The sequence below is a fragment of the Homo sapiens genome, chromosome 7 (assembly GCF_000001405.40).
Source record: "Homo sapiens chromosome 7, GRCh38.p14 Primary Assembly".
Lineage (NCBI taxonomy): Eukaryota > Metazoa > Chordata > Mammalia > Primates > Hominidae > Homo > Homo sapiens.
In genome coordinates, this window is record NC_000007.14 from 101,488,206 (window position 1) to 101,508,945 (window position 20,740).

A 20,740-nucleotide genomic window follows, 5' to 3' on the forward strand; every position below is an offset into this window, starting at 1 on the left:
TGGAGGCAGAGGTTGCAGTGAGCTAAGATCGCGCCACTACACTCCAGCCTTGGTGACAGAGTGAGACTCTGTCTCAAAAAAAAAAAGTAATTAAATATACATAAAATACATTTTAACATTTTAATCCGTTTTTAATTTTATTTAATATATATATATATATATATATATATATACACACACATTTTTTTTTTCCAGAGTCTAACTCTGTCACCCAGGCTGGAGTGCAGTGGCGCAATCTCAGCTCACTGCAGTCTCTGCTTCCTGGGTTCAAGTGATTCTCCTGCCTCAGCCTCCTGAGTAGCTGGGATTATAGGTGCCCGCCACCACGCCCGGCTATTTTTTGTATTTTCAGTAGAGACAGGGTTTCACCATGTTAGCCAGGCTGGTCTCGAACCCCTGACCTCAGGTGATCCTCCCTCCTCGGCCTCCCAAAGCGCTAGGATTACAGGCGTAAGCCACCGCGCCCGAACTTTAACCAGTTTTAAGCGTTCAATTCAGCCGTGTTAGGTACCGTCACACTGTCGTCCAGCCATCTCCACTGTCCATCTTCAGAACTTTTTCATTGTCCCAATTAAATTGCAGACTTTTAAAGGAGGAAAAAAAGTTTATTGTGTGTGTCCTGTCTAGCGCACTCTTCCAGGTTAGTTGTACCTTTTATTGTCTTTGAGCCAGTTTACAGCTCTGTAAAGTTGTGCAGTAATCATGAGAATGGATTTTTGTCCACGTTCCTGTAAGTTAATTGTGTCCGGTGGAATGCAATTGGATATTGCCCTGGGGACAAACCTGTTTTGCGTCTATTTGTAAATTCACAGCAGCATTCCGTGTTTGCCTGCAAGATTCCGTGCTTCTACGAATTTGCCTTTGAACCGCCCATGGCATCTGTCTGCTTTGTTCCCTCTTTGATTAATGTGTTAAATAAAATCTTTGACACATGTTCATTTTCTACTTGTATGAGAGCCGTGATTTTTTTTTTCCTCTTGTGGGAATCAGTCCTTTAACAACAGGACTTTAGTCTGTGGGATTGGAGGAGCTGTGGTTTAACCCCTGAGATTCCTCAGCCAAAGGCACTGTCCCACATGAAGTTAGAATATGTGGAGTCCAGCTAGGGAAAGAGGTGCCAGATATATTCCATCCTCTGTCACCCTAAGAGCAAATGACAGTGATTCTGTGCTCAGCCTGACCAGAGCTGCAAGAGACCTGAGAGCCTCTCTCCAACTGGCTCATGTTACAGGAACAGGGTCCTGATCCAGACGCCAAGAGAGGATTCTTGGATTTCACACAAGAAACAATTCATAGCTCACCTCAGCTTTGAACTCCTGGGCTCAAGAGATCCTCCTTCCTCAGCCTCCTAAGTAGCTGGAGGTATGCACCACCACACTCGGCTATTTTCTTTCTTTTTCTTTCTTTCTTTCTTTCTTTCTTTCTTTCTTTCTTTCTTTCTTTCTTTCTTTCTTTCTTCCTTCCTTCCTTCCTTCCTTTCTTTCTTTCTTTCTGTCTTTCTTTCTTTCATTCTTTCTTTCTCTCTCTCTTTCTCTCTTTCTTTCTTGTCTCTCTTTCTTTCTTTCTTTCTTTCTTTCTTTCTTTCTTTCTTTCTTTCTTTCTTTCTTTCTTTCTTTCTTTCTTTCTTTCTTTCTTTCTTTCTTTCTTTCTTTCTTTCTTTCTTTCTTTCTTTCTTTCTTTCTTTCTTTCTTTCTTTCTTTCTTTCTTTCTTTCTTGTCTCTCTCTCTCTCTTTCTTTCTTTCTTTCTTTCTGATGGAGACTTGCACTATTGCCCAGGCTGGAGTGCAATGGCCCGATCTCGGCTCACTGCAACCTCCGCCTCCCAGGTTCCAGTGATTCTACTGTCTCAGCCTCTCAAGTAGCTGGGACTACAGGCACCTGCCACCACACATGGGTAATTTTTGTATTTTTCAGTAGAGATGGGGTTTCACCATATTGGCCAGGCTGGTCTCGAACTCCTGACCTCGTGATCTGCCCGCCTCGGACTCCCAAAGTGCTGGAATTACAGGTGTGAGCCACCGTGCCGGGCCTTTTTAAAATTTTTAAGTAGAGACAAAGTCTCAGTCTGGCTATGTTGCCCAAGTTGGCCTCAAACTCCTGAGCTCAAGCGATCCTACCACCAGGGCCTCCCAAAGTGCTGGGATTACAGGAATGAGCATTGTGCCCGGCCAACAGTCCATTTTTATGGGCGGCCCATGATAAAGCAGAGAGGCAGGCCAGGCACAGTGGCTCACACCTGTAATCCCAGCACTTTGGGAGGCCAAGGTGGGAGGATCACCTGAAGTCGGGAGTTCGAGACCAGCCTGACCAACATGGTGAAACTCATCTCTACTAAAACTACAAAAATTAGCTGGGTATGGTGGCACAAGCCTGTAATCCCACCTACTCGAGAGGCTGAGGCACAAGAATCACTCGAACCCAGGAGGTGGAGATAACAGTGAGCGGAGATTGCACCATTGCACTCCAGCCTGGGTAACACAGTGAGACTCTATCTCAAAAAAAAAGGTCGGGCACTATGGACCATGGCTCATGCCTGTAATGCCAGCACTTTGGGAGGCCAAGGTGGGCGGACCACCTGAGGTCAGGAGTTCGAGACCAGCCTGGACAACATGGTGAAACGCTGTCTCTACTAAAAATACAAAAATTAGCCAGGCATGGTGGTGGGCACCTGTAATCCCAGCTACTCAGGAGGCTGAGACAGGAGAATTACGTGAGGTTGCAGTGAGCTGAGATCACGCCACTGCACTCCAGCCTAGGGACAGAGAATGGCTCTGTCTCAAAAAAAAAAAAAAAAATTAGCTGGGCATAGTGGCACATGCCTGTATTCCCAGCTACTCAGGAGGCTGAGGCACAAACATTGCTTGAATGTGTGAGGCAAAAAAAAAAAGCACTATTACCTTAAGCCCTGTGAGCCTCAATTTTCTCACCTGAAAAATGGGGATGATTGTGCATGCTCCCCCCTGCACGGCATGGTCAGCTGTGTTTGAAGCCACCTTCAACTAGATCACGAGAGCTGGTTTTGTGTATTGCCTCCCAACTCCCGTGCAGGGGTGTCGTATTGGTGGCTTGAAATTGGCCATGCTGGGAGTATTTACACCATGGAAATTGACAGACACTACAGAGAGCTGGTTGTTAAACACTTACCAGCACACCATTGGTGGCCATCCCAAATGTGTGGTTGTGTTACAAGAAAGGGGTCCCAATAGAGACCCCAAGAGAGGGTTCTTGGATCTCACACAAGAAAGAATTGAGGGCAAGTCCACAGTGCAAAGCAAAAGCAAGTTTATGAAGAAAGTACAGGAATAAAAGAAGGGCTACTCCATAGACAGAGCAGCCCTGAGGGGTGCTGGTTGCCCATTTTTATGGTTATTTCTTGATGATATGCTAAACAAGGGGTGGATTATTCATGCCTCCCCTTTTTAGACCATATAGGGTAACTTCCTGGTGTTGCCATGGCATTTGTAAACTGTCATGGTGCTGGTGGGAGTGTAGCGGTGAGGACGACCAGAGGTCACTCTCATCGCCATCTTGGTTTTGGTGGGTTTTGGCCGGTTTCTTTACTGCAAACTGTTTTATCAGCAAGGTTTTTATGACCTGTATCTTGTGCTGACCTCCTATCTCATCCTGTGACTTAGAATGCTTTAACCATCTGGGAATGCACGCAGTAGATCTCAGCCTCATTTTGCCTAGCTCCTATTTAAGATGGACTTGCTCTGGTTCACATTCTTCTGATAGTTGGAGGACCTGGCATTTGGGATGCATGTCCCCTCTGAGGTGTGGGAACTTTGGTACAACAGGATGGGTGGACAGGCTGGGGTCCTCTGGGGAAAATCCTGCTGGGATGGAATGATGAGGGCAGGGTGCTCACCTGGAGGCCAAGACAGTGGGGGCCAGAGGAAGCCGCTGGTAAGCCTGGATGTTGAATTTAAGAGGGTGAGAACTGAATCCTCTTGGAAGTGACATTTCCTGCTCTTTCCTCTTGTCCAGACAGTAGAATCTTGACGGAAAACTACTGTTATTTTCCCTTAAGAAAAAGCAATAGATAAAAATAATAGCAAAAATCACACGGAACATGATGAGGATTTGCCACTGTTTCTTGGGGAGCCTCTAGGTATGAGGTGTGGTGGGCAAACCATGGCCATCAACTACTGTCAAAATTATTATTTTACTTTAAAACAATTATTTATTATTTTTTAAAATAGAGTTGCAGGCCGGGCGCGGTGGCTCATGCCTGTAATCTCAGCACTTTGGGAGACTGAGGCAGGAGGATCACCTGAGGTCAGGAGTTCAAGATCAGCCTGGCCAACACGGAGAAACCCCATCTCTACTAAAAATACAAAAATTAGCTGGGTGTGGTGGTGGGCGCCTGTAATCTCAGCTACTCAGGAGGCTGAGGCAGAAGAATTGCTTGAATCCCGGAGGTGGAGGTTGCAGTGAGCTGAGATCATGCCACTGCACTCCAGCCCGGGCAACAGAGCAAGACTCTGTCTCAAAAAATAAATAAATAAATAAATAAATAAATAAATAAATAAATAAATAAATAATAAAAATAGAGATGGGGTCTTGTTCTGTTGCCCAGGCTGGAGTGCAGTGGTGTGATTACAGCTCACTGCAGCTTCCAGCTCCTGGGCTCAAGTGGTCCTCCCATCTCAGCCTCCAAAGTAGCTAGAGCTACAGGCGTGCACCACCACGCCCAGCTAATTTTTGATAGGGGTCTTGCTGTGTTGCCCAGGCTGGTCTCAAACTCCTGGGCTCAAGTGATCCTTCACTTTGGCCTCCTGGAGTGCTGGGATTAGAAGTGTGAGCCACCACACCTGGCCCATTGTCAGATTTAGTCCTCAAACAAGATGGAAATCATCATTCCCCTTTCACAGAGGAGAATAAGAATGGGGAAGAGAGGTTACTTTATTCAGGGACATTCAGCCGGGAAATGTCAGAGCCAGGATCTGTCTCAAGCCAAAGTGTGTCTTTCCCCATCTCACTGCAAGAAGCTAGGACGGACCAGGCTGCCCACCCCCTTCCCCCTGCCCTTGCCTCCCTCCCCACCCCGCCCACTCTATCAGACTGGCCACTCTTCCCTCCTTCCTCCATGCTTAGGCCCCAGTACTCCACCCTTACCCCTTCAGTGTTTGCCTGGCAGGCTCTAGTCCATCTGCAAAGGCTCAGCTCAGAAGTCCCCGCCTCCATGAAGCCCTCCTGACTACTGGGTTCCTGCAGAGCTGGCTTTTGCCATTAGTTCAAGTCCTCACCACACTAGGTGAGAACAGCTGTCACCTTGGCCAGGGCTCTTCGCTTGTGGACCTCTTTGGCCGTCTGCTGAATCCTGTAGACTCTTACTCAGAACGGTATTTTTAAGTGCATAAAATGAGCTATGAGGATTATCAATGACCATGAAATACAGTGCATCGGAATTTTGTTTTAAAAAATCAAATTATGGCCGGGCGCGGTAGCTCACGCCTGTAATCCTGGCACTTTGGGAGGCCAAGGTGGAGGATCACGAGGTCAGGAGATTGAGACCATCCTGGCTAACACAGTGAAACCCCATCTCTACTAAAAAAAAAAAAAAAAAAAAAAAAAATTAGCCGGGCGTGGTGGCGGGCGTCTGTAGTCCCAGCTACTTGGGAGGCTGAGGCAGGAGAATGGCGGGAACCCGGGAGGTGGAGCTTGTAGTGAGCTGAGATCGTGCCTCTGCACTCCAGCCTGGGCAACAGAGCGAGACTCTGTCTCAAAAAAAAAAAAAAAATACAGAATGATGAGTGTGTTTCTTTCCTAACGCAAACAGCAAGATCCCACAGTAAGGCTGACAACTTTCAGAATGTTGGAGTAGAAATGAGCGGGAAAGGTATTTCAAGACAGTGGCAATAATTGTGTGAATTCGATTGGGAACGAAGACACAGGTACTTCTACTTCTATTGCATTGTCGTTTTGTTTTGTTTTGTTTTGTTTGAGACAGAGTCTCTCTGTTGCCCAGGCTGGAGTGCAGTGGTGTTAGCTCACTGCAAACTCCGCTGTCTGGCTTCAAGCAATTCTCCTTCCTCAGCCTCCCGAGTAGCTGGGATTCCAGGCACTTGCCACCATGCCCGGCTAATTTTTGTATTTTTAGTAGGGATAGGGTTTCACCATGTTGACCAGGCTGGTCTCGAACTCCTGACCTCAAGTGATCTGCTGGCCATAGTCTCCCAGAATGCAGGGATTACAGATGTGAGCCACTGCGCCTGGCTGTCTATTGCATTGTTGATGTTGTTGTTACTACATTCATAATAGGAAGAGATGCTAAATCGCAGTTTGGTGAAAGTAAAGGCGTAGTTCTATTTCCTATCAAAGTTCACCCATCCCTGATTTCTATCCTTGGACCCTGGCTAAGAGCCTAGGTTACAGACTCAGAGCCCCTTGAGGGGCAGGATTGAGTTTCGTCTGCATTTCCAGCCAGGTTTGCACATTGCAGACAAGCTGACTACAGCCAATCATGCAGGTTTGGTGAATGGGTGAGAGAGTGAATTAAGTCAAGGAAGCCACAGCAGGGGGCCCAGCCCGCTCCTCCTCCAGTCCCAGCTCTTCCAGCTGCACTTGTTTAATGGTATGAACGTGACTTGGCTTGGTCCCGGCGCCATGGCTGGGAGCACAGGCTGCCCAGAGCGTACACTGCAGGTTGGAAGCGAGACCCTCTCTCTGAATCAGTGTCTGAATGTGTGCTGCCTAGAGTTGGTCGTGATTCATCTCCTCTATGGGGAGAGGGGCTGCCTTCATCTCAGCCCTGGGCTTCCTTCCCCGTGGCTTCCAAACCCTCCCCCTGGCGAAAGGCAGCCTGAAGGAGCTGCTGCGGTTTAAGAAAGTAATTGACCTGATATTATTCTGGCCTGGAGAAAAAGATCCTGAGTGTTGTCTTAAAGAGGCATTACGTTATCTGCTGAGAATGTCAGGAGATCAGGGGGATCGGTGCCCCCCTCCCACCTCAGGTAGAGGAGCCATCAGTCCCAGCTGGAACCCAACACACAGGGCTAGAGCTTTATCTGCCTGAGGCAGCCAGGATGTCCGGCAGAACAGGTGCTGGAGACCCTGGTAGTCAGAGCTTTCCAAAACATGTTGACTTGATTTCCCTCTCTTTCCAAGAGAAGCTGTCGAGCAATTCAAGCTTCCAGGGCACCTCTGGCGGGGGGATTTGGTGCATGGGCACAGGCAGGGGCTACGTATGGGCAGCCTGGGGAATTTTTTTTTTTTTTTAAGATGGAGTCTCGCTCTGTCGCCCAGGCTGGAGTGCAGTGGCATGATCTCGGCTTACTGCAAGCTCCGCCTCCCAGGTTCACGCCATTCTCCTGCCTCGGCCTCCCGAGTAGCTAGGACTACAGGCACCCACCACCATGCCAGGCTATTTTTATTTTTTATTTTTTTATTTTTAGTTGAGACGGGGTTTCACCATGTTAGCCAGAATGGTCTCAATCTCCTGACCTTGTGATCCGCCCACCTCGGCCTCCCAAAGTGCTGGGATTACAGGCATGAGCCACCGCGCCCGGCCAGCGTAGGGTATTTTTGCCACCACATCTGGCATCTGGTCACTCTGTGCCTAGGGCCTTCAAAGTCCTCACACATAACCAGAAACGTGGCTCAAGGCCGGGCGCAGTGGCTCACACCTGTAAGCCCAGCACTTTGGGAGGCCGAGGCGGGATGATCACACGAACCCAGGAATTTGAGACCAGCTTGGGCAACATAGTAAGACCCTGTCTCTACAAAAAATAAAAAAAATTAGCCAGGCCTGCGGTACCAGCCACTTGGGAGGCTGAGGCAAGAGGATCACTTGAGCCCAGGAGATTGAGGCTGCAGTGAACCATGATTACAACACTGCACTCCAGCCTAGGCAGCAAAGCGAGACCCTGTCTCAGGGAAAAAAATAAAAAAGGCGGCTTAGCATGACTAGGCATGGCCCAGTTCCCAGCAGCCCACGTCTCCTGGCAAACCGGATGTTGCATTTCCCAAGACCATCTGCTTCCATCCAGAGTGGAGAACTCCTACTGGTCAGAGTCTAAAGGCAGCTGATTCCTGGACCAGTCGGCTGTGGCCAGGGCCATGGGGTTAATGCCCGGGTAACTGAATAGGTTCATTGCCCAATGCACACAGCAGGTCAATTTACCAAGACACCGGATTGCAGCAGAGAAAAAGGTTTAATCATAGCGTCACTAAATGAGGAGATGGGAGGAAACCTCAAATCTATCTCCCTGAGGAGTTTGGGGCTGGGGTTTGGGGGTTTTGGAGTGGGCTGAAGTGTGGAGATGGTTGATGGGTGGAAGAGTGCAGGGCGAGGTCCTGGGACTGAGAGGGGAAGAAGCTGTGTTCTACGCTCATCCTCTTCCTCTGTGGGGTCTTCAAACTCCACAGGAAAGGGGTGCAGATCTAGACCCCAAGAGAGGGTTCTTGGACAGGGGCGGTGGCTCACCCCTGTAATTGGGAGGCCAAGGCGGATGGATCACTTGAGCCCTGGAGTTTGACACCAGGCTGGCCAACATGGCAAAAACCCATCTCTACCAAAAATACAAAAAATTCCCAGGCGTGATGGCGCGTGCCTGTAATCCCAGCTACTCAGGAGGCTGAGGCAGGAGGATCACTTGAACCTGGGAGGTGGAGGTTGCAGTGAGCCGAGATAGTGCCATTCAACCTGGGCAACACAGTGAGACCCTGTCTCAAAGAAAAAAAAAAAAAAGAATTCAGGGTGAGTCTGTAAAGCGAAAGTAAGTTTATTAAGAAAGTAGAAGAATAAAGTCCAGGCCCAATGGCTCACGCCTGTAATCCCAGCATTTTGGGAGGCCGAGGCGGGCAGATCACTTGAGGTCAGGAGTTCGAGACCAGCCTGGCCAACATGGTGAAACTCCGTCTCTACTAAAAATACAAAAATTAGCTGGGTGCAGTGGTGTGTGCCTGTAGTCCCAGCTACTTGGGAGGCTGAGGCAGGAGAATCACCTGAACCCGGGAGGCAGAGGTTGCAGTGAGCCAAGATCAGGCCATTACACTCCATCCTGGTGGACAAGAGCAAAACTCCATCTCAAAAAACACAAACAGAAATAGTTCTGGAAACATGACATGTGACCCAGGGAGCGGGAGGCTCCTCCTGTGTCAAGTTCACCCTATTTTGACTAACATGTACTGAGCACCTTGAAACCCAGGCGCTGGGCTGAGCCTCTTAAAGGTATTTAACCCTGGCCACATGCAGTGGCTCATGCCTGCAATCCCAGCACTTTGGAAGGTCAAGAAGGGTAGATTCCTTGAGCCCAGGAGTTCGAGACCAGCCTCGGCAACATAGCAAAATCCCGTCTCTACAAAAAATACAAAAAATTGGCCAGGTGTGGTGGTGCATGCCTGTAGTCCCAGCTACTCAGGAGGCTGAGGTGGGAAGATTACTTGAGCTCAGGAGGCTGAGGCTGCAGTGAGCTGTCATTGCACGATTACACCCCAGCCTCGGCAACAGAGCAAGACCCTGCCTCAGAAAAAAAATAAATAAATAAAAGGCCAGGCGCAGTGGCTCACATCTGTAATCCCAGCACTTTGGCAGCCCAAGGTGGAAGGATCACTTGAGCCAAGAAGTTCAAGACCAGCTTGGGCAACATAGCTAGGCCCCATCTTACAAAAACATTTTTTAAAAATTTGCTAGGTGTGGTGTCATGCACCTGTAATCCCAGCTACTTGGGAGGCTGAGGCAGGAGGAGCACTTGAGCCCAGATGTTTGAAGCTTCAGGGAGCTTTGATTGCACCACCGCGCTCTAGCCTGGGCAACAGAGCGAGACCCTATATTCATGAGTGTTGCAATGAGCCAAGTAGTGGAGGTTGGCTTTTGAAGGCAGAAAAGGACTGAGAAAAGCTAACACAGAGAACAAAAAGCCAATTGGTCATTTCAAAGTTACTTTTCTTGTAAAGGTTGAAGCAGAGGATGGCTTCTTCATCATGCAGGCTAAAACTGGCCAGTTTGGCTATTGTCTCTCTCCCCGGATTTCTCAGCAGGTCGGATAAGGATCTTAGTTTCTTTTTGGTGATGTGAATCTTAGCATGAGTGACTCCATTTTGGTTTGGTCTGTTGGAGCCTAGGGCAGGAGTTCAGTCCAAACCAATGACCTCTTTCTTATCAGTTTCATGTAACACAGAAAAAGTAAAGCCAAGGCTGCCCCTAGTGCTCAGTTCCTCGGGGCTCCCCCTGGACACCCAACATCCTGCCTTTGGGGACCTCAGAGTTACACCAGAATGATAGAGAGAGGAGACCCAGGTGTGCACAGCCCGCAGAGTGTGGCATGAGCACTGCGCAAGAATTGGGAGCCCCGGTTTCTCACACTGGCTCTGAGCACCTTGGTGAGCCTTGAGTAAGTGTCCGATGCCTCTAAGCGTTTGTTTGCCTTTCTTTGCATGAGAAACAGTGACCCTGCCGGCGACACCAAGGCTGTGGATGCATGTAGTGGAGTCTCCACTCTGCACACTCTGGATTTATTTCGTGATGTTGCTTTTCATTTGGAGAAGGTCTTTGAAACAAGCAAGCAGTGAGATGTTCTTCTAGACATGTATGTTGCAGGCTTTGGTGAAATTCAACAGGATGTTTTCCCAAGTCAAAGGCTATTGTTGTTGGGAGACGCAGGCTGGAGAGGATTTCCCCAGGGTTTGCAAAGGCGAGGGAGGCTTGGTGCTGGCTCCCCACCGCGCGCGGCACCCCTGAGAATCTGGTCTTCATCGAGCGCTCTCAGGCACGGCATGTAAGCCGATCCCCGCACAAAACTGTGCATTAATGAAAGTTTTGACAAAGAGATTTCATTTTGGAGCTCACGTTCCCTGAAGGGTTTGTAATAATTGTACTTGAAATGGAGCCATTCGGCCTCAATGCTTTCCAGATTGGGGGCGCGAGGCATAGCCCATCCCGGGAAGGTCGGCTGGGGAGGGGGAGGCCGCAAGAGGTGCCTTGGCTGGAGTTCGCGGGGATCCCTGGCACTGGCTGACCTGGGGACTGTGTGTCCACAGCCTCGACCTTCTGCATCCTCCCAGCCATCACAAGGTGGGCGTTAGGACTCTTGATTTAAAGCTGAGCACAGGGCTGGGCACATTGGCCCACATCTATACTCCCAGCACTTTGGGAGGCCAAGGTGGGAGGATTACTTGAGCTTGGGAGTTTGAGACCAGCCTGGGCAACATGATGAGATCCTGTCTCTACAAAATATATAAAAATTAGCCATGGCCGGGTGCGGTGGCTCACACCTGTAATCCCAGCACTTTGGGAGGCCGAGGTGGGTGGATCACCTGAAGGTCAGGAGTTCGAGACCAGCCTGGCCAACCTGGTGAAACCCCGTCTCTACTAAAAATACAAAAATTGGCTGGGCATGGTGGCGCATGCCTGTAATACCAGCTATTCTGGAGGCTGAGGCAGGAGAATCACTTGAACCTGGGAGGTGGAGGTTACAGTGAGCTGAGATTGCACCACTACACTCCAGCCTGAGTGACAGAGGGAAACTCTGTCTCAAAAATAATAATAAAAATAATATTAAAAAATAAAAATAAAAAAATTAGCCAGGCATGGTTGCACATACCTGTGGTCCTAGCTAATCTGGAGGCTGAGGCAGGAGGATCACTTGAGCTCAGAAGGTGGAGGCTGCAGTGAGCCATGTTGTTCACATCACTGCACTCCAACCTGGGTGATAGAGGGAGTCCCTGCCTTAAAAAAAAAAAAAAAAACACCTTTGTTATGGTTTCCTGTGCTCCCTTTAAAATGTATTCAGGCACAGTGGGTAGGGGCAGTGTTCTACCCTTACCCTTGAGTGGAAACTGGACATTCCCATAACCATTTGACAGTCAGTTGAAGTCATAAGCTATGATGCATCAATTAGCTGTCTTGTTCTATGGAATAAGCAAAACTCCAAACTTGGTTCAGGATTGAACCTGCCCCTTCTGCATTTGGGGCCTGCTATTGTGGCTGTTTGGAGTAGGCTGGGGCATGCGTGCCTTCTCTGCTATTGCAACGTCCCCGCCTCTCTCGCCACCCTTCCTAGCCTTTCCAGGGTTGAAGCGGGGATTGCCGGGAGGGGGGGCAAGTTGAGCAGGACATCTGTACTTGCTGTGGTCTCTCCTCCTCTCTGGGCTACAAGGCTCATAGCTGCCTTTCTCTTTGGAGGGACACCCCTACCCCCATCTCGATCCCAAACACTTGGCAAGTGCACTTCCTTCTGGCCGTTGCTTATGGTTTTTTCAACATCCAGGAGTTTGGAGACCACCTCCCAACTTCTCCTCTGCTGATGTCTGTTCATTACACTGGACAGGAGGTGATGCCCTGGCCAGCTTGCTGTCTGCATGGCCTGCATCTGATCTAAAATACCGGACCGGGCGCGGTGCCTCATGTCTGTAAACCCAGCACACTGGCAGGCCGAGGCGGGCAGATCACCTGAGGTCAGGAGTTCGAGACCAGCCTGGCTAGCATGGTGAAACCCCATACCTAAAAAAAACCCCACAAAAATTAGCTGGGCGTGGTGGTGGGCACCTGTAGTCCCAGCTACTTGGGAGGCTGAGGCGGGAGAATCACTTGAACTCCAGAGGCTGAAGCTGCAGTGAGCCGAGATCGCGCCATTGCACCCCAGCCTCGGCAACAGAGCGAGACGCTGTCTCAATAAATAAAAAAATAAATAAATAGATAAAAAAAGAAAAGTGCCGTGATTGTCTAAATGAGGTTGTTAGAAATGCTTAGGAACCACCGGGCGGTGGCTCACGCCTGTAATCCCAGCACTTTGAGAGGCCAAGGCGGGCGGATCACGAGGTCAGGAGTTCAAGACCAGCCTGGCCAACACGGTGAAACCCTGTCTCTACTAAAAATACAAAAAAAGTTTAGCCGGGCATGGTGGTAGGCGCCTGTAATCCCAGCTACTAGGGAGGCTGAGGCAGGAGAATCGCTTGTACTGGGAAGGCGGAGGTTGCAGTGAGCCAAGATCGAGCCATTGCACTTCAGCCTGGGCTACAGGGCGAGACTCCGTCTCAAAAAAAAAAAAAAAAGAAAAGAAAAGAAAAGAAAAAAAAAAAAAAAAGAAATGCTTAGGAACCTGCCAGTTGGAATAATCCTGTGGAATCAGGGAGTAAGTGGGTTGGGGGCCACGAGAGTCATTAGCTAGGAGACACGCACACATCCCCATGTCGGCCCCAGGCCTCTTCCAGCTCCCATGGCCACTGTGTTGGGCCTGGGGTACCTAAATGCCCCCACAGCAGTGGTGGGGCAAGGCCAGGAGGAGCTCAGAGGTGAGACTCCTTGAAGATAGCCAGTTTCTTCAGCTCCAATATCTTCCCCTGCTTCTTCCATATTCACCAGACACCGCCTCCAGGAAGCCTTCCCTGGTCTGTCCAGATGGAAGCCAGGTTCCTCCAGGAGCTGCCCCTCTTTTCAGCCCTTGTCACTCTCTGCCTGTTGTTTCTGCCCCAGGCCTGTATCCTTTGCGCTGTGTCACACTCCATTTGAGCAAGATGGCCACTGGGTTCATCCCCATGGTGCCCAGCACAGGGCTTTGTCCAAAGGGGTGCTCAGACTCTTGGAGGTGCATGCTCATAGAAAGTATGTGTGTGTGAGTGTGCGCCATGGGCTGTGTGTGTACATGAGCTGTGTACAAGCGTGGACTATGTGTGCAAACACAGGTTGTGTATACAAACAGCTGAGTTTGTGTGCGTGTGTGTGCATGCATGGGCCCTGTGTATACATGGGCTGTGTGTGTGCATAGTGAGTACATGTACATGGGCTGCGTGTGCAGCTCCAAAATCTTCCGCCCTTTCTTCCGGATTCACCAGACACCTCCTCCAGGAAGCGTTCCCTGGTCTTTCCAGAGATGGAAGCCAGGCTCCCTAGAAAAATCTAGTTCAAAACTATGCTTGAAGGCCGGGTGCGGTGGCTGACGCCTATAATCCCAGCACTTTGGGAGGCTGGGGCAGGCAGATCACCTGAGTTGAAGACCAGCCTGGCCAACAGGACGAAACCTTGTCTCTACTAAAATTACAAAAATTATCTGAGCATGGTGCCACATGCCTGTAATCCCAGCTACTCAGGAGGCTGAGGCGGGGGAATCACTTGAATCTGGGAGGCGAAAGTTGCAGTGAGCCGAGATCGCACCACTGCACTCCAGCCTGGGCGACAGAGCAAGACTCAGTCTCAAACAACAACAACAACAAACAACAACAACAACAAAAACCAGCTATGCTCAAGAAAAATACACACGGAATATATTGCCCCTTCCAAAGCCTTTGAGGTCATTTGGCCCAATCCCCTCTTGTTCTAATGGGGAAACTGAGGTTCCAAGAAGGGATTGGGCTTTCTATACTAACAGGTCCCAGACTCAGAAACTCCTGCCAAGCTGGAGGCTAAGGCCCCTCAGGGACTGGCAGGTGCTGTGGAGAACACAGGACCGGGGCCGGAGTTGGGCTGGAGCTGGGCTGGAGCCCCACTGTCAGGGGGGACCCAGGAAAGGGGCTGTTCCACTGCAGCCTGGGAGGGTGGCTGGATTGGGAGCCCCCTCATCTGACCCAGTGTGGGTGGGTGGCTCAGCCCATGGGAGTCTCAGCTCACAGGGTCTAGGGACGCATGCCCCCCTCTTGTTGCCATGCTCCCCAAGCGGCTGTCCAATCTCTTCTTGGGCACTTACAGGAACGGGCACTCCCTCCTTCCCGGGGCTGCCTGGCTCTGTGCTGAAAGCTCATTCTCTAAGGGGCGGGAGCTGCTCTACATGGTGTCCGCCCAGTGACTTTGGGTCCCAAGGTGGGGCCCATCTGCTGCCTCCTCCTTCTCAGGGTGAGCTGCCCAGTCCCTCTGTGGCTCCCCAGGGCCCAGCCTGCCTGCTGCCCCCAGAACCTTCTCCAGCTCATCTACCATTGTGAAGAATAGAGCCTGGGCCTCATATACGCAGTTACTCCTGTTACATGCCTTTGTTGTGATTTCTTCTCTCATCAGTGATGCACCTTCCTCCCAGGCCCCAGAACTGGGTGTTGGGGCAAGGTCTGTGGGGTCCCCTCTCGCCTCTGTTCTCTAACAATGCATGGTGCTGGTGACAACAGGACGGTCACCACCTCCTGGTTTGTATGTCTCAGAAATGATGGTTGGAAAATGAAATATAAACAGCACTTCTCAAACTGTCCCACGTGCAGGAGTCACCCTGGGGGGTCCTATTTAAATGCAGATTAGGATTGATAGGTCTGGGACAGGGCCTGAGTGTCGCCCTACCCTGCCCTGCCTTGTCACCCAGGCTGGAGTTCAGTGGTGCGATCATCACTCAATTGCAGCCTCAAATTCCTGGGCTCAAGGGATCCTCCAGCCTCAGCCTCCCAGGTAGCTGAGACTACAGGTGTACATCACCACACCTGGCTAATGTTCGTATTTTTTTAGAAGCAGGGTCTTGCTATGTTGTCCAGGCTAGTCTTGACCTCCCGGCCTCTGGTGATCATCCCGCCTCAGCCTCCCAAAGTGCTGGGATTACAGGCGTGAGCCACTGTGCCCAGCTAAGGGTCTGCATGGCTCACAAAGCCCCAGCACTTGCGGACAGGGGGTCTGAACCACACAAGATTGCCTCAAGGGAAGGTGCTGGAACTTTTGTTTCAGTCCTGAAGTCACAGGCACTGGTCAGGTTTGTGAGCAGGGAGGTGACACCTCCAAGGGACATGAGTAGGGAGCAATGGCCATTCTCCTCCTTGGAGAGTCCCTTGTTAGAACCTAGGCCTGCCACTTCCTGTTTCACAGTAGTTCAGTATTTACAGTAACTTCCAGGAAGGGGACCATGTGTCACGCCTGAGCTGACCCTTTCTCTCTGCTGCGAGCTCAGGATGTGGGCAGGCGACCCTGAGCCCAGCAGGGCCCTCCATCTGCAGGTGTCCCCCAGCTCCCCAGTGTCCCTGAGCTCACTACCCCAGCTGAGCCCCAACACCTCTTTTTTTTTCTTTGGGGACACAGTCTTACTCCATCACCCAGGCTGGAGTGCAGTGGTGCAATCTCGGCTCACTGCAACCTCTGTCTCCTGGGTTCAAGCGACTCTCCTGTCTCAGCCTCCTGAGCAGCTGGAATTACAGGCGCGTGCCACCACACCCCACTAATTTTTGTATTTTTAGTAGAGACGGGGTTTCACCATTTTGGCCAGGCTGCTCTCAAACTCCTGACCTCAAATGATCTGCTCGCCTCGGCCTCCCAAACTGCTGGGATTACAGGCATGAGCCACGGTGCCCGGCCCACTGGCACCACCTCTTTGCCCCATGCTGACCCCTCTCATGTTGGGATTAGGGACCAGGGCCAACCTCCTCCCCTGTCTATGCTCGCCTGATTCGGGGACTTCCGCCTCGCTCCTCTCCACTCCAGAGGCACCAGGGCTTCTGTCTGAGCTGTGACCCCAAAGTTGCTGTTGACAACTGACATGTGTCCCGGGTCCTGTGATTTAGAAAACATCTCACCTCTGCCTCCGCCATCTCATTGGTCCTTCTCCAGGGCACCCAGAGGCTGGCATTGTTATGAGGATTTATGTGAATTTTTTACTTCCTTGTCGTCCACACGATGCTGCTGAGTTCAGAGCGATTCAGTGAATTTTCCACCGTCACCGGCCATGAAAGGCCAGAGCCTGGACTCTTGGTTGTTGCCCAGACTGTGTGTGTGTGTGTGTGTATGTGTGTGTGTATGCCTGTGTGTGTCTGTGTCCATTTATGTGTGTGGGCTGGGCACGGTGGCTCACGCCTGTAATCCCAACTTTGGGAGGCTGAGGCGGGCAGATCCCTTGAGGTCAGGAGTTCCAGACCAGCCTGACCAATATGGTGAGACCCCATCTCTACTAAAAATACAAAAAATTAGCCGGGTATGGTGGCGAACGCCTGTAATCCCAGCTATTCCAGAGGCTGAGGGAGGAGGATGGCTTGAACCAGTGAGCAGAGATGGCGCTATTGCACTCAGCCTGGGTGAAAAAAAAAAGTTATGTGTGTGGATGAATGCACGTGGGTCTGGGTGTGCACGTGTGTAGATCCATGTTGGGTGGGTGTGCCCGTGTATGTGAGCACTCTCTGTGATTGTGCAGAAGTGTGTATGTGTGTTGTGTGTGTGCATGACTGTGAGTGTGCATGAATGTGTATGAGTGTGTTGTGTGTATGCATGAGTGTGATGGGTGTGTGGGCACTCTGTGTGTGCATGGGTGCATGTGTGTGCCTAGGTGTGTGCATGAGTATGACCACTCCATGTGTGTGCATGACTGTGAATTTACTTTGTTTTTGTGTGTACATGAGTATGTGTGTATACTTTTTTTTTTGGATGGAAAGAGGAGTTTGTTAAGGAGTATTAACTCACAGGATCACGAGGTCCCACAATAGGCCGTCTGCAAGCTGAGGAGCAAGGAAGCCAGTCCGAGTTCCAAAGCTGAAGAACTGGTAGTCCGATGTTCGAGGGCAGGAAGCATCCAGCATGGGAGAAGGATATAGGCTGGAAGCCTAGGCCAGTCTAGTCTTTTCACATTCTTCTGCGTGCTTTGTGTTTTGGCCACACCGGCAGCTGATTAGATGGTGCCCACCCAGATTGAGGGGGGTGGGGTCTGCCTTTCCCAGTCCACTGACTCAAATGTTAATCTCCTTTGGCAACACCCTCACAGACACACCCAGGATCAATACTTTGCATCCTTCAATCCAATCAAGTTGACACTCAGTATTAACCATCACAGCTGCCTTCTCTTATAAGACGGGGAAACTGAGGCCCAACAGCCCAGAGATGGACAGACACTTGCCTAAGATGACACAGTGGTATTACAGACTAGACCCTGAGTCTCCTGGTCCCTCCCAGCTCGTTACACCTTCGAGGACCCTAGGACAGGAGAAGCCACACTCTAAGCTAGAACCCATCCTCACACCACAGCCCTTGAATTCTCCTTCTGTCCTTTCCCTCTGCCCGAATGGGGTCAGTGGAGGGAATGGACTCTGGGTGAAATCACACCCATTCAGAGCCTTTGGGACAAATATTTGAGAGTCACCAATTACCTGATCATCAAAGACATGCCTTTAACTTCCTGACTGTCCCGGTTGTTTGGGGCGGCCAGGAGGCCCCCTGGAATCCCTACTGTCACTGGCATATTGCAAGCACATGTTTTCTGCACACAGAGCTGCTCACAATAAACCAACGCTGAAAAGCACATTAAAATGAATCGGAGAAGAGAGAGTCACTTTGTAACATGCTTTATTTTATTTTGTTTTTGCCTTGGAAAGGAGCATGTTTTGGCTGCCAATGAAAGAGCTGGTGGGGGCCTCTTAGCAGAAACCAAACGGGTCCAGATTAGACCTACCCAGCCCACCCCCTGGGACAGTGGCTCTGGCTCCAGGGAGCTGAGAGGGGCCCCGAGACCAGGGGTGAGCTGCAGGGCTGGTCTAGAAACTGGAGATCCCGGGTACCAGCCCTGAGCTCTGGGACACTGGATCCCTTTTCTCCTTTTACCTAGCCTCCGTGTTCCTAACTGCAGAAGAGATTCCCTGACTGTATTTGCTCCTTCTGATTAGTCAGTGGGCACCACGGTCCCTAAGGAGAGTGCATTTCTCATAACAGCTCTGCAAGATGGTTTGGACCATCCGGGGATTTCCAGCCAGAGTGCTGTTATTTTGCATGGATTGGTCACAAGCTGAGATTCATACCTTTCTGTCCAATCCCTCTCCAACTTCCCTCTTAGGTGTGCTGTCTGCAGCCTTCTCCTCCCTGCACACATCCAAAAGCAACTCCTCCCCACTCCCTAGAACCACTCCTTTTTTTTTTCCCCCTCACTCTATTGCCCAGGCTGGAGTGTGGTGATGTGATCTCGGCTCACCGCAACCTCCGCCTCCCGGGTTCAAGCGATTCTCTGGCCTCAGCCTCCCGAGTAGCTGGGACTACAGGTGTGTACCACCACGCCTGGCTAATTTTCGTATTTTTAGCAGAGACAGAGTTTCACCACGTTGGCCAGGCTGGTCTCAAACGCCTGGCCTCAAGTGATCCGCCTGCCTCGGCCTCCCAAAGTACTGGGATTACAGATGTGAGCCACCGCGCCCGGCTTTGCCTAGAACCACTTCTAATTCTCCTTGCTCAGTGAAAAACACTACTCCGTCTAGCCAATCTGCCGTTGAAATCAGAAACCTCAAAGCCTCAACTCTCTCCTTGTGACCCTGTTGCAAGGGATCCCCAACATCCCGTGGATTCTTCTGTCTCTACAGCCCTCTCTAATCCATCTCCTCTTTTCTGCCCCTCCTGGCTTTGTTTTTTGTTGGGTGGGGGGAGCAGGAGACAGAATCTTACCCTGTTGCCCTGGCTGGAGTGCAGTGGTGTGATCACAGTTCACTGCAACCTCCACCTCCCCGCCTCAGGTGATCCTCCCACTTCCCCATCCTGAGTAGCTGGGACCACAGGCACACGCCACCATGCCTAATTTTTAGTGTTTGTAATAGAGATGGGGTTTCTCCGTGTTGCTCAGGCTGGTCTCCAACTCCCGGGATTAAGTGATCCTCCCTCCTCCACTTCCCAAAGGTTGGGATTACTGGCGTGAGCCACCACAAAGTGGCCCATTTTCTTACCTTAGATCTCACCCACCTATCAGAACTGTCTCAGCAACCTCCGGTCTCTCCCCACCAAGAGCAAGCAGAAATCTAAACATTCCCCTTCCCTGTTTGAGACCCTTCTGGACTTTCCACCCCACCTGGATATCAGCCAAATAGCACCGCCGCTGGTCCCTGTGGTTTCTTTGTGCAGATTAAGGAAAAAGCGCCCCTTCCTCAAGGCACGTGACTGCCATCTGCTGGAAAACTGCCGTAATATATATAAAATTATGAGGACCATGATATGATGGCGCCCTCTAGGGTTGTGCAAACACAGCATCCTGAATCCCACAGCCTCCTGGCTTTCAAGAGCCTGATGGCCCTCCAGCCTCATGTCTTCCACTCCTTGTGCCTGCTCACATCTTCTCTTCCACTGATCACAAGCTGTTTGAGGCTCTCCAAACACACTGGAGCATGGAGGTGGAGAATGTGGACTTTGGAGACAGAATCCCAGCTCCGTCATGTAACTGTTACAAAATTCCTTAACCTGGCCAGGCGCGGTGGCCCATGCCTATAATCCGAACAGTTTTGGAAGCCTAGGAGGGAGGATTGCTTGAGGCCAGGAGTTCAAGACCAGCTTGGGCAACACAGCGAGACCCCATCTCTACAAAAAATAGAAAAATCATCCAGGCGTGGTGCACACCTGTAGTCCCAGCTCCTCAGGAGGCTGAGGTGGGAGGATCGCTTGAGCCCAGGAGTTTGAGGCTGCAGTGAGTCATGATCACACCACTGTACTCCAGACTGAACAACAGAGATAAAACCCTGTCAAAAAAAAAAAAAAGATGATGGTCTTAACATTTAGGGTGGCATGAACCAACAACCCTCCCTTCCCACCCCTCCTTGATAAACAGATGAAACATTGGCCCCTCTCTCCTAAAGCATGCCCGGGCACAGAGAATCTTATTTACAGGAACCCTCAGAGGATTCTCCCATCACTCACGAAACCTGACCGTAAGGTCTTTCAGCTCAGATGAAGGAGGAGAGACCCCTAATCTTTGCTGGGTGTCATTTCACATGTGGAAGTGGTCACTTTTCAAATTCAGGTCTTTACCTTCCCACCTGTATTAGTTCGTTTTGTGTTGCTATAAAGGAATACTTGAGGCTGGGTAATGTATACAGAAAAGAGGTTTGTTCCAGCTACTCAGCCAGGAGGCTGAGGCGGGAGGATCCTTTGAGCCCAGGAGGTCGAAGCTGC

At 50.6% G+C, this 20,740-nt stretch overlaps 1 protein-coding gene across 6 annotated transcripts in view, besides 6 other annotated features; it reads left to right on the top strand.

Moving 5' to 3' along the window:
• COL26A1 (collagen type XXVI alpha 1 chain) overlaps window positions 1-20,740 on the top strand; it is a 196,637-nt gene that overhangs the window by 125,818 nt on the left and 50,079 nt on the right. The gene's annotated exons all lie outside the window — the stretch shown is intronic.
• Window positions 5,696-6,266: an enhancer, noted in NCBI's record as "H3K27ac-H3K4me1 hESC enhancer chr7:101137182-101137752 (GRCh37/hg19 assembly coordinates)". NCBI's record gives its function as "activates a minimal SCP1, AML or CMV promoter by ChIP-STARR-seq in primed H9 embryonic stem cells {active_cell/tissue: H9 hESC(primed)}" and the evidence as "EXISTENCE:reporter gene assay evidence [ECO:0000049][PMID:30033119]".
• Window positions 6,267-6,836: an enhancer, noted in NCBI's record as "NANOG-H3K27ac-H3K4me1 hESC enhancer chr7:101137753-101138322 (GRCh37/hg19 assembly coordinates)". NCBI's record gives its function as "activates a minimal SCP1, AML or CMV promoter by ChIP-STARR-seq in primed H9 embryonic stem cells {active_cell/tissue: H9 hESC(primed)}" and the evidence as "EXISTENCE:reporter gene assay evidence [ECO:0000049][PMID:30033119]".
• Window positions 15,385-16,074: an enhancer, noted in NCBI's record as "H3K27ac-H3K4me1 hESC enhancer chr7:101146871-101147560 (GRCh37/hg19 assembly coordinates)". NCBI's record gives its function as "activates a minimal SCP1, AML or CMV promoter by ChIP-STARR-seq in primed H9 embryonic stem cells {active_cell/tissue: H9 hESC(primed)}" and the evidence as "EXISTENCE:reporter gene assay evidence [ECO:0000049][PMID:30033119]".
• Window positions 16,075-16,764: an enhancer, noted in NCBI's record as "H3K27ac-H3K4me1 hESC enhancer chr7:101147561-101148250 (GRCh37/hg19 assembly coordinates)". NCBI's record gives its function as "activates a minimal SCP1, AML or CMV promoter by ChIP-STARR-seq in primed H9 embryonic stem cells {active_cell/tissue: H9 hESC(primed)}" and the evidence as "EXISTENCE:reporter gene assay evidence [ECO:0000049][PMID:30033119]".
• Window positions 19,083-19,842: an enhancer, noted in NCBI's record as "H3K27ac-H3K4me1 hESC enhancer chr7:101150569-101151328 (GRCh37/hg19 assembly coordinates)". NCBI's record gives its function as "activates a minimal SCP1, AML or CMV promoter by ChIP-STARR-seq in primed H9 embryonic stem cells {active_cell/tissue: H9 hESC(primed)}" and the evidence as "EXISTENCE:reporter gene assay evidence [ECO:0000049][PMID:30033119]".
• Window positions 19,255-19,374: a silencer, noted in NCBI's record as "silent region_18485". NCBI's record gives its function as "represses an Ori minimal core promoter by ATAC-STARR-seq in GM12878 lymphoblastoid cells {active_cell/tissue: GM12878}" and the evidence as "EXISTENCE:reporter gene assay evidence [ECO:0000049][PMID:35858748]".